The sequence below is a fragment of the Homo sapiens genome, chromosome 4 (assembly GCF_000001405.40).
Source record: "Homo sapiens chromosome 4, GRCh38.p14 Primary Assembly".
NCBI lineage: Eukaryota > Metazoa > Chordata > Mammalia > Primates > Hominidae > Homo > Homo sapiens.
In genome coordinates, this window is record NC_000004.12 from 68,892,811 (window position 1) to 68,908,956 (window position 16,146).

General features: G+C 39.1%; 1 pseudogene, besides 3 other annotated features; it reads right to left on the reverse strand.

The window, feature by feature from the left end:
* Nucleotides 1–15,902, reverse strand: part of LOC101930041 (UDP-glucuronosyltransferase 2B10-like) — a 47,384-nt pseudogene extending 31,482 nt beyond the window's left edge.
* Nucleotides 11,042–11,934: an enhancer, noted in NCBI's record as "H3K4me1 hESC enhancer chr4:69769570-69770462 (GRCh37/hg19 assembly coordinates)". NCBI's record gives its function as "activates a minimal SCP1, AML or CMV promoter by ChIP-STARR-seq in naive H9 embryonic stem cells {active_cell/tissue: H9 hESC(naive)}" and the evidence as "EXISTENCE:reporter gene assay evidence [ECO:0000049][PMID:30033119]".
* Nucleotides 12,826–13,717: an enhancer, noted in NCBI's record as "OCT4-NANOG-H3K27ac-H3K4me1 hESC enhancer chr4:69771354-69772245 (GRCh37/hg19 assembly coordinates)". NCBI's record gives its function as "activates a minimal SCP1, AML or CMV promoter by ChIP-STARR-seq in naive H9 embryonic stem cells {active_cell/tissue: H9 hESC(naive)}" and the evidence as "EXISTENCE:reporter gene assay evidence [ECO:0000049][PMID:30033119]".
* Nucleotides 13,718–14,608: an enhancer, noted in NCBI's record as "NANOG-H3K27ac-H3K4me1 hESC enhancer chr4:69772246-69773136 (GRCh37/hg19 assembly coordinates)". NCBI's record gives its function as "activates a minimal SCP1, AML or CMV promoter by ChIP-STARR-seq in naive H9 embryonic stem cells {active_cell/tissue: H9 hESC(naive)}" and the evidence as "EXISTENCE:reporter gene assay evidence [ECO:0000049][PMID:30033119]".
* Nucleotides 15,903–16,146: the final 244 nt, after the last annotated feature.

Consider the following 16,146-nt stretch of genomic DNA (forward strand, 5'->3'; position numbering starts at 1 on the left):
AGAGTAAGGCTCTGACCTTTATTCTTACTTTTCCTCTCCCATCATGGTAACTTCATCCTATGAATGAGCTGGGGCAGTGATTATTTGGTACTCAATATTCTCTGTGCCATTCTTGAGTTAAACCTCTGAGTTATGACTGTGGTTAGATGAAAGATGGGAGACCCTTCTTAGCCACACTTGTCTGGAGGAATTTAGCTTTTGCAGCATATGCCTTAGTGTGTGTAGATAAGAAATTCAGAGAGACATCTCTCCTCAACAGCATACTCTGGCCCTCAACTGGAAGCTTTGGGGAGTGGGAAGCCTGTGGTGGTGTCAGCATCTCCCTGGAGCAAAGGTAGTTTCTGTCACAGTGAATTACGAGGGTGGGCAAGTGAGCATGTTGTGGTTTAAATGCCAAAGACTCTCACTGTTTTCACCACAAATTAGTGTATTTTCTTCAGTACATGTTACTTTGTTTGTTGTATGCCTTCAGGGTTATTTCCAGAGGCATCGACTGGTTGTTTTAGAAAACAATTTTCACTAGTTATCACTGTTTCCCTTGAAATTTGCTCCATGGAACTTCTAATTCTACCATTTTTGAAGGGGCTGGTACAAATTTTTTTTGTAAAGTATCTCCACCTTCTGCATATATTTAGGAAAAATTAAGCCAACAATCAAGGAGAAAAAAACATTTTTTCTTTAAACTTTTATTATAAGTTCAGGGATACATGTGCAGTTTGGTTACATAGGTAAACTTGTGTCATGGGGGTTTGTTGTACATATTATTTCATCATCAGGTAGTAAACCTAAAACCCATGACTTATATTTATTTATCCTTATTCTCTCTCTCCTCCCACCCTCTACCCTCTATTAGGTCTGTTGTTTCTCTCTATGTGTTGATGTATTCTCATTATTTAGCTCCCAATTATAAGTGAGAACATGTGGTATTTCATTTTCTGCTCCTGTATTAGTTTGCTAAGAATCATGGCATCTAGTTCTATCCATGTTTCCACAAAGGACATGACCTCATTTGTTTTCATGGCTGCATAGTATTCCACAGTATATATGTACCACATTTTCTTTGTCCAGTCTATCAGTTATGGGCATTTAGATTGATTCTGTGTCATTGCTATTGTGAATAGTGCTTCAATGAACATACATATGCAGCTGTCTTTATGATAGAATGATATCTATTCTATTGGGTATATACCCAGGGATGCAATTGGTGGATTTAATGGTAGTTCTCCTTTTAGGCCTTCAAGGAATCACCACACTCAGTTTTCCATAGTGGTTGAGCTAATGTACACTCCTATCAACAATGTATAGGCACTCATTTTTCTCTGCAACCTCACCAGTACCTGGTGTGAGATTGTATTCTGACTGGTGTAAGATGGAATATCACTGTGGTTTTGACATGCATTTCTCTAATGATCAGTAACATTGAGCTTTTTTTTCATATTTCATATGCTTGTTGGTTAGGCTCTACCATTCTAGAGATAGAAATGGGCTAAGTTTTCATAATGAAGACAGCAAAATCAATTATAACAAAAGCAAAAATTAACAAATGGGATTCAATCAAACTAAAGAGATTCTGTACAACAAAGGAAATTATCAACAGAGTAAACAGACAACCATAGAATGGGAGAAAATGTTTGCTAACTATGCATCTGACAAAGGTCTAATATCCAGCATCTATAAGAAATTTAAACACATTCACAAGAAGAAACAACTTCATTAAAACTTGGGCAAAGGACATAAAAAGTAAATTTTTACATACTAGAATATTGCAATTTAAGAACAAATGGGACACGTGAAAATTAAGAAAAAAAAATTTAGTTGAAAATGATATTGCTGTATACCTTTTAAAAAAATCTCCTAATATACTACAGGATGATTTTAACAGACAGTTCGAGGTTACCAGGCTATGGGCTGCTTGAATGGCAAGTGACTGTCTAATGTGTATACACATCCTTTTAGGTTGGTGACAGTTTTGGAGCTAGATTGCAATGGTAGTTACACAATACTGTGAATGCCACTGAATTGTTCACTTTTAAATAGTTAAAATGTACATATTATTTTATGTGATTCTTACCTCAAATATTAAAAAAACATGTGGTTGGCCAGAGTTTGCCCAGAGGCACTGATTTGTTATCCTTTGATTAATTAAATTACAATAAATGTAATTCCTACATATTTAAAAATAGCAAATGCTGTTATTTTTATCATTTACATTTGAAACATTTACATTTTAAAAAATATGTGAAGTAATTTAGGTAAGGACTCATATCATTGTGGAAATTTTTCTGTCTATTTAATAATTATTATAATTAATGCAAATTTATTTTGCTACATACAGCAACTGTAGAGCTTTACCAAGTTAATGCATCCATCCTTTCATCAGCCACAGGAGGTGAATAATGGCATTACTCCATCTCCGTTTCACTGATGGAGAAGTTGAGGTGTACAGGTGAGGCAACTTGCCAAACCCCACATAATTCTCTAGAGGTTTTGCAGGGACTTGAATCCAGGCTAACTGGATCCAGAGTGCAGGAGCTCTTAACCACCATGCTACGCTGACTCCCCTTTCTGAGTTAGTTATTTTCAAAATGTCACATTTGTAGTTTCCATTTTCTTGTCTCTATATTAAGTGTATATTATTATGAATGTATAATTAAATTTTTAGAAATATCCTTGTAGCTATTTATCACTTCCTAACAAACTACCCTCAATCATGGGGACTTTGAAAAACAATTAGCATTTTATTACAATTTCCATAGCATGAGTGTTGGGTAGGTTCAGCAAGATGGTTCATACACAGTATTTCTCAGGTCATTACTTTAATAGGGTGGCTGGGGATGTAATCATCTGAAGGTCATTCATTCACGTACTTGGTGATGGATGTCAAAAGACTCAAATTCCTGTGGGACTGAATAATCATGACTTCTTAGTCTCTTCTTTGCATCATTCCCCGAGTTGTCATTTATCATCAGGACTTTGGGTGTAACACTGGGCTCCAAAGTATATAGAGGGAGAAAAAGGGAAAGAGGGAGGAGAGAGAGAGAGAGAGAAAGAGGTATAAGTAAAAGACATAGACAGACAGACAAACGGAGACAGACTGCCTTTTCTAACACAGTCTTCAAAACTATGCTGTCACTTCCAGTATACTTTCTTTGCTGAGAAAGCCACGAGTCTTGCCAAAATTCAAGGGGAGGGACCACGGTTTGATAAGAATGTCAAAGTGTTTGCAGTGATGTCTCAAAATTCCACAAATATAACCTATTGAGTTAGTCAACAGAAGCCTCTAAGCAACTATGAAATTCATTACATATGGACATTAAAAACACAATAAAATCCTAAAAAGTGTGAATTTATATTTTTTACAACTACTGAAACATTAAGCATTTTAAAATATTTACTCATAGATTTTTATATATGAAATAGGTGTCCTAAAAACTAGCCTCAAATAAATTAAAAAATGTAGTATAATGAGGTGATCATAAGTGACTCAACTTTTCCCACTTCTGCTCCAGACACATACACATGCATAAGAAAAAATGATGTTGAACAACATATACAGCCTAGTATAAAATGAAAGAAGGATGTCCACCAATTGTTAAAATTGGAGGGAATTCTCTGAATACATGCTTATGAGAACTATGAGAAAGTGACTTTTGGGAGGAAACCAAATGAGACATAGTACCTAAGTAAGGAACAAAAATTTACAGAGAGCAGTGACTTTTGTTAAAAAAAAAATAATAAAATATGTGTGGAACTGTAGATGTCCCTAGCCTGCAGGAGAGGAAATTTTAAATATTGTGAAGGGATGCTCTCAAAATACACAATAAATATGAGCGATAGTGCAGAAATCAACACCTGTTGAATATTTCCCCAAGAAAACCACATGAGGAAATAACCAGTTTTACACAGTTGGAAGATTTTTACCTAAGGATTGTAGGTAGAGGAAACAATCAGAATGAGACTTTGATTTTTGATTTATATATTTATTCCTTTAAGATAAAAGCTCTCTTGTTTCTAGTGGATTTCTTGGTCTTATCTACAAGTTGTATGCTTTGTTAAAGCATTTATGACCTGATTCAATGTGTTTGTCTCAATTTTTATTTCATTCTGTCCTGCCTCTTTCAACCTGTATGTCCTCATTATGATTGACTAATCCAACAGCAAAGTTTACCTTATCTGACTAAAGATTATTCGTTAATTTTTACTTGTTTATCTGACCTTTAATTATCTTTTTTTTTTTTTTGGCAATCACTCTGAGCCACTGTTATGATGAGTCAATGTTCTAGTTCTTTTATGAAGAGCAAATTCATCCTTAATAAAGTCTCTATACCAAAGAAGAAGCTATAGAAAAACATCCTTGAAAAAATCAGTGCAGTATGTGAACAAAATTTTCACTGGATCATAAACCCAAAAAGTGATTCATCAGATTAATATTTGGGAACTTACAGTGAAATCAATGATACATCTCAATATGCTTGGAATTAAAGAAAGCTAATTTCCATCATAGGTAAAGCACCAAATAACTGGCTACTCCAGTGTTGATTTGTTGGGAGTATGAATAGAGTGGCAATAGGTGAAGGATACACATGGGCCCAGCACAACGAGACTCCCTCTAACCAAGTCTGAGGATGCTACTACCGAAATAACAAATCCAACCTGCTAGTATCTCAATGCTTACTATACATTTGGACATTAGGGAAGTGACCACCAGTGGGGTGGTAAACCCAGTGGGACAACTCTAAGCTCATCTTTCTCAGAACCTCTACATGCCCCCACTTTCAAAAATGTTATTTTCAAAAGAAAGCCATGTCTCCTACTCATCCGAATTTTACCAAGATTCAGTGTCCAAAGGAACAACAACTTTTAGAATGATAACAAATGAGAAATTTGAAATTTTATGCTTTACTATTTTTCAGTTTATTGTTCCTTGGGTGCAAATATAGCTTTATGATACTGAATCAGGATCCTGTAAACATTCTTCCTTTGCCAGCTAGATGAATGCTAAGCTTCATCAATAGAGAACACTGGAGTGGTTGTGAGGTGGTAGATGCCAGAAGACACGTCCCCTCCAAGACGCTACTCTTTACTGTTATTTAGTAATTTTTACAATTATTATTGGGTTTTAAGGATTTGTATGTTAAAGAATATATTTAAGAATATTAAAGACTATACTTAAAGAATATAAGAAGGAAACTTCTAATTATCACATTTGTTTTATCTTATAAAAAACATTACATTTTGCATAGATATTAATTCAGAAAACTCCTATATAAAACACTTGTCCTTGACATCGATAGACTCAGCTTCATATGTTATTTTCATGACTAAATTCACAATTATTTCATTTTTGTCTTCAACTTCTGTGGTGCTTGCATATTTCAGTCCTTAAGGAGCATATTCAAAATTTTATAGAAAAAGATGAAGGATGAAGAATGTTATTTCAATTCAATGATTCCATGTGACTACTTAGAGTTTCTTTGTTTAATTTTTTTTAACTGCTGAGATATTTAAAATCTTGTAGAATCAATCTCAAAGAAACAGACACATTCACAATATTGACATTTTTGGAATTTAATATACTATGTGATTTTAGGAGTCTCTATAAAGTAAATCTTCATATTCACATACTTTCCTAACTGTGTGTGTACATAGTACTTTATATGAAAAGACTTCTCAAAATTAAAACAAATGAAAGTATTCTTTGATAACTCATGAATAGACATAGATTTTTGTATCTGGCTCTATGGTCTAAGAATTGCAAAGAAGATCTATTTTGGCAAGGTCCTTGGTACACTTTCAGAAGTTGTTTCATTAAGAAAATATAAATAGACTAAAATTTAACTTGTGTAGTACAGGTTGAGCTTCATTATTTCTGCATACTAATATTTATCTATAAGGTTTTCCCTCTTTTATAAAGAAGACATTACTATAAAAAGCACTAATACATTACACTTTTTTTCTTGTACTTTGGTATTTTTTTCTTTCTAGTGGCATGACTATATGTTCAAAGTTTAAGTGAAATATTTAGTGTATATTTCTTTTCTAGACATTATAATAATTCATCTTATTAGCAATTATTGCTACAATATTTTCTCATAGAGAAGAGTACTATAAAAATCTATTTCATGTGTGAGAAATAATCATTATGTCTCTCTTTCATTCAACTGTTTTAGACACATCTCTTGTCAGATGGAAGAATTGCTCTTAAGTTGGTTCCCTTCTTCTCTCTTATTTGCTTTTCAAACCTTGTTCTGAGTCCAAAGGCTGTAATGAACAATAATTTAACGCAGGTATTGGAGAGCTTTTGCCATTTATCATGTTTTCTCCAGCATGGACTTTAAAAATTGTTGCACAGAATATTTGACTCTTTATTCCACCTACAATTTATTTTTCAATATGTTATGAGGAGAGAATAACTAAAATAATTATATACATTTCTGGTTTGTATATCCTCAGTACTCCAGGTATTAAAGTAGGTGGAAATATCACACTTGACAAGGTAAGGGCAAGAAATGTGAGATCTTATTGCAAGAGAGAAATCCATGTAACATAATCTAGAGGGACTGGACTACATATCTATAATTCCGAACTAAAGGAAACTAGTCTCTTCTTTTATTTTGTGTATTACTATCCAATTACAAATGGTCATTACTAAAGCAAAATAGTAACTCAAGTGTATTCAAGGCCTCATGTGGAAAACATCTTTAGTCATTCTAACCAAAGATTTTACTAGGTTGCATAGTTTTACATAGGAAGCCAGTTATAAACATCTAGAGTTTTGAAACAAAGAAATTTTTATGAGAAAACATTTTGTATTTCATGAACGATATTATTTGGAAACTTCCATGTAACAGGAAGAATCTGCCTAAACACCATGCTAAGAGACTTAGCCAAGTTTAGTCCAGCTTATATGTGCACTATGTCATGGATTTGTCCTGGAAGGTGACCCTAGCCTTCATGCTGAGGCTTTGCTCAATAAAATGTGACGCTGCCAAATTCCAAAATTACCCTAACTAATCTTGTCTAATAATCAATCATTTTACACTTAATTTTTATGTAATTTTCTACTTCCATATAGCCCACTACTCTCTTTTTGGTTTCCTTATTTTGATTTCCTCATATTCCCTTTTTATTCATAAACAGATTTTCTTTAAAAGTCTCAGTTACCTTTGTCTTAGTTGGAGTTAAGCTCAGTTCATACTGTAGTCACTATCCCCTTCTTCAGTTGTCAAAATAAAGTTTGTCTTGCAATTTTTAACAAGGATCTTGCTCTGTTTTTCTTTTTCTTTTTCTTTTTCTTTTTTCTGACAGGGACACATATATTCCATATGAATGTATTTGTTTATATAGAAGAGGGTTCTTTACCTATGTAACAAACATGCGCATCCTGCACATGTACTTCTGAACTTGAAATAAAAGTTGAAATAAAACAATAAAAATATGATATGTATTTATTATATATAATATATAAATATATAAATGTATTATATTCTATAAAAATATATACATATATATAAGAAGAAGTTTCTTAAAATGCACAGTAAAGCAAGTCTTTCTGGCCTTCTCAAGTAAACAGACTGAATTTCCAGTGAAACTCATTTTATTTTCAGCTGAAAAATATACACAGATAAGCATTAAAATTGAATTATTATAGGTTTTCTGAAAATAAAATTTTACAATACTTATGTTTAACAAAGATTAAAAAATTCAAACAAATCAGGAAGGCACAGGTCTTGTAAAATGTAATAAAGAATTTAGTCCATACCTTGATGCATAGTGGTGGCATTAAATGGCACAATTTTTGGTATCATGCCTGCCTGCCTTAGATCTCAAACAGACCTACTCTCTTTTCCTTCTTTCTCATCTTAACAAACTTTTGATAATCAAGCATCATAGTATGACAAAGAGAGTAACAAGAGCTGTGCAGGCCAGCACATCCAGAGAGCAGTACTGAAACCAGGTGAGCTTGTGGGCAGGTGGCAGCAGGTACTTGGCTCCATTGTGGTGCATGACAAATTCAATCCAGAAGAGTTTTTGGTCCAAGGGCTTCAGAGACTGATCATAATAAATGATTGATAACTACATAACATTCTCTTTACAGCTAAAGGAAAATCAAATAGACACCAGCTTGATTAATGAACCAGAAAAGATAAATATGTGAACTTTTTGTGTAGATGTTAAAAATGAGTGCCACATAAAAGTGGATGAAAAATAAAATATTTTATTTCATGGTGGTTATAGCAATATAATGAATAATACAAAGAAGATTACTGGGACTAAGACTTCTGGCCACATTTGCTCATCTGATGATGATTCTTCAAGCTTCAGCCATGCACAGACTAGTCAGCTCCCAGTGTGACTAGAGCAGGGCTTGCTGTTTCCTCAACCTTCTTCCGTGCATAGACGGGTCAGCTTCCGGAGTGACCAGAATAGGGCTGTTGTCATCTCCACTGGCAACGTGGTCTCATTGCATGATCAGCCAGGTCAGATGGTCTGGGTCCTACTGGCTGGTCCACTGGTCCTGGGCTGCCGGTTTCAGCCAACTGTGGTGGATCCAAGGTATGATACCTGCAACAGCAGTGGGAGTGGACAAGACCACAGTATGGGGCCCATCCCATATGGGTCCCAGAGTAGGTGGATTCTATTTCCTAACCTAAAAAGAGTCTTCAGGTTTGAAAGGGTGTACTGGGTCTGTCAGACTTATAGGCATTCTTTCCTGTGTTCAGCCATTCACTTTTTGCATGGCCATACCTAAAGCCTGCATTTGTCTTCTTAAAGTTAGTTTTTGTAGCTCACGGAGATTACCTTTAATCTGCCTTATGATTGGGGGTGGCCAGCCAAACAAAATCTCACAGGGCAAGTACCCAGTTTGTTTTTTTTTGTGGGGGTGCACCTGACTCGGGGGAAGACCATGGATAAGACCTGATCCCACCTCAGATGAGATTCCTGACCAAATTTCTTCAGCAGCTGCTTGAGTGTCCGGTTCATGTGCTCCATCTTTTCTGAGCTCTGTGGCTGGTAGGCCGTGTGCAACTTCCATTTTATCTTTAATAGTCAAGTTAAGTCCTGAACTATTTCAGCCACAAATGCCAGTCCATTATCTGACCCCAGATTTAGGAGCAGTCCAAATCTGGGAATAATGCCTCCCTTGGTCACCTCTTGTGCTTTTTATGTCTAGGTGGGGAAGACCTTGACCCATCCTGAAAAGGTGCAGACAAGCACCAACATGTACTGATAGCCCCCTGCTCAGGGCAGTTTGGTGAAGTCCAAAAGCAGGTTATCACAGGGCATGGCCACTGTTTTCTGAATTCCCCGGGGGCCAAGTAGGCCCTTGTCGAGGGTTGCTCTGAGTACAAGTTAAACACTGTTTACAAACGGCTTGAGTAATAGCAGTGAGCTGTGGCACATAGAAATGATGCCCTAATAATGTCTCTAGTGCCATTTTTCCCATGTGAGTTCCTTGGTGGAACTGTTTTACAAATCTGGGGGCCAACATTTCAAGTATGGCTAGCTTCCCATTGGAGAATTTCCATCATCCTCCTTCAACGTAATTCCCATTTTCCTGGGTAAACCAAGCCCTTTCATTTGAGTGTAGCTTGGGGTCTCTGGAAGGGGAATCTCTGGGAGGAGAGTCATAGCTAAGGCTTCTTGTTTAGAAGGTGGAGTCGCCATTGCAGCTTGCTTTGCCTCTTTGTCTGTCTTTCTGCTTCCTTTAGCCTCTAATGTTCCTGCCTTTTGCCTACATTGCATTACTGCTACCTGTTTGGGGGCTTATACAGTGTCTCAGAGTCATAGAATTTCTTCCTTGTACTTTATTTCTTTACCTCCAGCAGTTAAGAGTTCTTTTTCTTTGTAAATAGCCCCATGAACATGCAAAGTGGCAAAAGCATATTTGGAGTCTCTGTAAAGATTTGCCTTCTGGACTTTTGCTAACTGGAGAGCTCTTGTCAGAGCTATCAGCTCTGCTTTCTGAGGGGAAGATCCTGTAGGCAAAGACTTCGCCTCCACTACTGAGTCCAAAGTCACCACTGCATACCCAGCTTGGCGGACACCCTCTAGTATGAAGCTGCTCCCATCAGTAAAATATCCAATGTCGGGGTCCCCGAGGGGCTGATCTGTCAAATCTCTCTGGCTTAAGAACACTTCACCTACCACATCCACACAGCATTGAAGGGGGCTTCCTGGCATTGACTCAATGGTAAGCAAGGTAGCTGGGTTTAGGGTATTCACAGTCTAAAATTATGCAGAGATTTTCACATAGGAGCCCTTGGTATCGAGTTATTCTAGGATTTGATAACCAATGGTGCCCCCTTTGGTCCATCAAAGTTACAACCGAGTGTGGTACCTGGATCGTCATTTGCTGTCCTAAAGTCAGTTTATTAGCTTTCTGTCCCAGCAGAGCAGTGGCAGCTAATGCCTTAAAACTAGGAGGCCATCCAAATGCCACAGAATCTAATTGCCTGGATAAGTACGTCGCTGGGCAGTGCCATGATCCTATGGATTTAGTTAGAACTCCTATGGCCATTCCCTTTTGCTCGTGGACATATAAAAAGAAAGGCTTCGTTAGATCTGTCAGTCCTAAAGCTGGGACCAGAGTCAAGGCTTCTTTGATTTCCTTAAAGGCCTTCTCCTGGTTGGCCTCCCAGAGGATGGTCTCCTTTTCCCCCACTTTGTGGTTTCATATAATAGCTTAGCCATGAGTGAGAAATTTGGGATCCAGATGTGGCAGAGCCCTGCTACCCCTAGGAACTCTCTTATTTTTCACCAGGTGGTTGGAGTAGGAAGTGCACAAACCACCTGCTTCCATTCACAACCAAGCCATCTTTTCCCTTAGCTTATATAGAAGCCTAAATATTGGAAACTTTCAAAGCAAATTTGAGCCTTTTTCCCTGACACTTTATATCCTGCCTTCCATAGCAGGTGCAGGAGGTCTTGGGTCCCTTGGAAGCAGTCCTCTTGAGTTGGGGCTGCTAGAAGAAGATCATCAATGTACTGGAGCAAGACACAGTAACTATTCGGTGGGGTGTAGACTTTAAGATCTGAGGCCAGTGCCTCTTCAAAGATTGTAGTGGAGTTTTTAAATCCTTGTGGGAATCTTGTCCAAGTGTACTGTGATTTACCCCCATTGAAAAACAAAACTAGCCTGACTAATTGGTGCAAACTGGAGACAGAAAAATGCATTCTTTAAATCTAGGACTGTAAATCAAGTGGCACTTGCTGGAATATGTCCCATTAAGGTATGCAGGTTTGACACCACTGGGTGGATGGTCACTGTGGCCTGGTTTTCTGAATGCAAATCCTGTACTGGCCTATATTCCCCAGACGGCTTCCGCACTGGCAAGAGAATGTTGTTCCATGGTGACTGGCATTTGGCTATGATTCCATGCTTATGAAGCCACTCTAAATGTTTGTGGACACCCCGTATGTCCTCAGGGAGTAGCGAGTACTGTCGGACCCGAACCGGAGTTTCTCCCAGTTTTAACTCTACCACCACCGGTGCCTGATTTACGCTGGCACCAGTCCAGGTGGATTACTTTCAGCCCAAACTCTGGGAATTTTAGTAAGTAACCCATGCATTTCATTTACTCCTGGTTCCGGAGTCTTTTTTGCATAGTCTCCATTTCTCAGCCTGCAGGACAGTGAGGGTTAACATCATAGCCTCTGGGCAAACTACGTTTAAAGTTACATTCCCTTGCGGCCCAAATGTAATCTGTGCCTGCAGTTTTTGAAGTAGGTCTCTTCCCAGCAAAGAAACTGGACAATTTAGGAGGTATAGGAATTCATTTTGGACTTCTCATCCTCCTATAACACACCTCTTTGACCGACAGGCCACTTTTCAGAGACTCCAGTGGCTCCTACAATAGTTGCACAGTTCTTGGATTGTGGCTCTATAGGTCAGGTCACTACTAAGTGTTTAGTTCTGGTGTCTACCGTAAAGTCCATTAGCTGGCCTCTAACTTCTAATCTGACCATGGGCTCCTCGGGTCCCAAAGAGAAGCAGCCTGGTCTGTCCTACCCTCATATCCTTCAGCCCCTGCCAGTCCAATCAGATCGATGTCTGGTTCCTCCCTGGTGTGGCAGCCACCAGTAGGTGGCCTTCCTATACTACTGCCCTGGGGTCTCTTTTCCCTCCAGTGGTTCTTGCAAAATTGGTTTTTCCTGTGGCTTTCTTTTTGTCTCTGTGTTTGCCGGAGAAGCTTTCACTTTTTGCTCAGCTCAACCTACAAGCTCCTGTGACTTTCCCTTTAACTCTGTGTTTACAGGCGAAGCTTTCACTTTGTCTTTGCAGCTGCCAGCACAGGTGATTTCTCTCAGCTCGACCTGCGAGTATCCTGCAATAAGCTGCTAAACAGGGCTGCATTCAGCCATGAGTTAACATAAGGAAATTTGGTCTGAATGCCCTGACTGTCCTCCTTGTTATTATTCTCTGGACACTCATCCTTCCAGTGTCCTTTTCTTTTGCACCGCTCACACTGATCTCTTTCCAGCCTCGGCTGGCCCTCAAATCCCTGTCCAGACTGGCCTCTTCCATGCCCATGTCCATACCCACATCCATGAGGGATGCTGCCAGCAAATCAGCCTTTTTCTCAAGCCTTCTATTAGCCTCCCTCTTTGCCTCCTGATCTTGGTTAATGTACACCTTCGTGGCCACTTCAATAAGCTGAGTAGCATTCATCCCTTTAAAACCTTCCATTTTCTGCAATTTTCACTGGATATCCCCCTGGGCCTGCTCTACAAATGCCATGTTCATCATGCACTGGCCTCACCAAGTCTTTTATAAAAATGGCTGGGGCTTTCATCTGCACCCTGATGCCCCTCTGAGATTTTTCCTATATTGATTGCCTGTCTCCCGCCTTCCCTTAAATTTTGCAGGAGTGCCTCTTGGTATCTTGGCAGCTGCTATAGTTGGGCTGCCTCATTCCTTTGGGTTCTAGTGGGGGTCCTCTAGTTTCCAGGAGAGGCATTTGCATAGCCCTAACACAACCTGACTGGAGGTGGCTTGCCTGTTTTTCCTAGCATTTCACCTTAACTTCCTGGAGTGAGGGCTCAGATTTTTCCCTCTCAAGAGAGACTGGGGGCATGTATCCATTTGAGCTTGACTCCTCAGAGGCAGTTAACCTGGGGAAAGCGGGGGTAGATTGGAACATATGGAGGAGGGGTCTCTTTTCCCTCCAGTGGTTCTTGAAAAACTGGTTTTTCCTGTGGCTTTCTTTTTGTCTCTGTTTGCTCACGCTACAAGCTCCTGTGACTTTCCCTTTAACTCTGTTTACAGGCGAAGCTTTCACTTTGTCTTTGTAGCTGGCAGCACAATTGATTTCTCTTGGCTTGAGCTGTGAGCATTCTTCAATAAGCTGCTAAACAGGGCTGCATTCAGCCATGAGTTAATATAAGGAAATTTGGTCTGAATTATCTGACTGTCCTCCAACTCAGGTCACCACCTTAAACACACGGCCAATTTTCTCCCTATCTGTAGCACATTTGGCAGGCCAGCCAACACCAAAAAAGGGCTATTCTAATTCACAGAGAGCTCTCAGCATCTGAGGGGTTAACTTGACTCCCTCAACCCCTGCAAAGCCTTTCTTAAAGTTCTTTAACATACATTCCAATGGGGTGGGTTTCCACGATTTTCCTCCCATTTCCTCCCAGTTATGATGCAGCACATTCACCTTTCCTTTTGTTTTAGACCGATTGGACCCGGTTGGTCCTACATTTTGCTCGGAGCGTACAGCCTACACTAAGAGATCAGCAGCTCCACACATGTCATTCCCGTTGGTTCCTCCCAGAACTGTCTCTTTCACACGCACTCACACACTTCCCCGCTCCCAGTTCCCTATCCTGGTTGGGGCAGTGAACCGCTCTCACTGCATCCAGTTTCCTTCTGAACTAACTTAGCGAGCCACTCTCGCGTCCTGTGTTGGTTGGGGTGTGAGTTTCATCCAAATTTGTGAGCCACTCTCACCGTCCCCCAGCCTCTCTGTGTTGGATTAGTTGTCACTCCCTGGGAGGTGATCAGGCTCCCCTTCTGTCCTTATGGGATAGGTCCTGCCTTGGGCCCCAAAACTTTACCATGGTTCTGAAGAAAGGGCGCCATTCCTGGAACCGTCCTGCAACCCCTCCGGGTTCCCTTGTGCTGTCAGGGGAGGGGCACCGGGGACGCGGGAGAACAGCTCCTTTCTCTGGGCTTAAGTTCCCTTGATGGGTCCTGAAGTTAAGGGTCTCCCACAGCCGAGGCCCCAGACCGCCCACAGGCAAAGAAGCCAGCCAAGCTGCAGTCTCTCAGTCCCATGTGGGTCACCAGGTGTGTAGCGGATCAGGAGGACCCGAGAGAGACCTTGGGGTATATAGAGGAGGATATCTTTATTGAGTACACTCAGACCCAACGGACTTACCATCCAAAGATGGGGCCCCCAACAAAGACAGCACTTGACTTTTATACACACTTTAAAAAAGGGGTGGGCTAACTTGGTGCAGGCTTACGGTGGCACGAAAGCAGGGATACAGAAGGAGAACAATTAATAAAATTGTGACAGGTTCATAACCCAGGATTACACATGACTATTGCTATGCAACCTAGATGACTGTTATCTAGGTTTTGCTCAAAAGAGCCTTGCACTGGTTTATCTTATAACCTTCACTATGGTGCCCAGACAGCTGTAGTTCAGGCGTACTCAGACTTCTCAGGACCTTTGCTGTGCTTTTTAGATAAAGCAGAAATCTTGAGGTTACTAGTTACAGAGAACAAGAATCTGTAAAGTCATACCATAAAACAGAGGAAAATTTGTTTTTCTTCTCCCTATGTTGAAGGAGTGCTGAGAGAGTCACCAGACCACATTTCTTTGGTGTGTGTCCTGGCTTTTTAGATAGTATTAAGAATTTCCCTGGGTCTGGGCTGCACCCATTGCTGCCTCTGGGACTAGTTAGCCTAATACAGGAAAGCCTATTTCTCTTTTTAATTTTATTTTTCTTTCTTTCTTTAATTTCCTGCCTCAATCTCAGTAAATTAAATTATCCTAAATGTTAACTTTTCAGGGAGAAAATTTTCACCCTTTAACTCTTTATAGAATTTAAGACTCTTAGTTTTCCAACATTATGGCACTGTATTTAATATTTTGTGGGATCTGGGCAAGGGCTGATGCAATCACATCAGCCTTTTCTTCTGTAATGTTATCAACCATCGATCCCAGACAAAACACTGCAATGCTATTTTCTCCAGAGCTCTGGGAAAATGTCCATTTCCTATGAAGAAAGAATTTGCTCCATCACAAAAGAGCAATAACACAGCAAACACTATTGAAAAGAATGCTATGAGCAAATAAGGATGAGATATCAAATATTAGCTGGAATTGCTGGAGTAGAAGCTATGATAAAACATACATAATATGAAATTTTCCAACTTAAGCACTTCTAAGTGTACACATAGTACTGCTAGGTACACAATCTTAAGCAACCAATCTCCAGAACTTTTTCTGCTTTAAAGTTAAAACTCTATGCTGATTAAACAACAACTTTTTATTTTATGGAGTCCTTTTCACGTGGTAGCCACCATTCTACTTTCTTTTCTTTTCTTTTTTTTTTTTTAATGAATTTGACTAGTTTAGATACCTTATAAAGAGGAATTACAGTGTTTGTCTTTTTGTGACTTATTAACTTAGCCTAATGATACCAAGTTTCATCCACATTGTAGCATAAACCACATAGTGTCTGTCTGTTCATTCCTTGGTAGATGCTGGGATTGTACTGTTATGAATATGGATGCGCAAATATGCCTTTGAGAGCCTGATTTTAATTCTTATGGATAAATATCCAGAAGGGGGATTGCTGCATCATATGGTAATCTTACATTAAATTTTTTGAGAAACTTCCATACTGTTTTCAATAGGACCAATTTTTTAAACAAACCTCATCACTCAGTTCCTTTGGAAGGAGTTAGGTGCTACAACATACATTTCTTCTATTATTAATGCATAGTCATGCAACTGTGTGTGTGTGTGTGTGTGTGTGTGTGTGTGTTTGACTTAGTACATATAATAATAATTAAAATAGCATCTTATACAGTAATGGGGAAAGATACTGTTAAAAAATATGGGACACAGACTCTTCATTTATAATATTTTAAACACTAATATGGATTCTTAGGAAGACTAATGT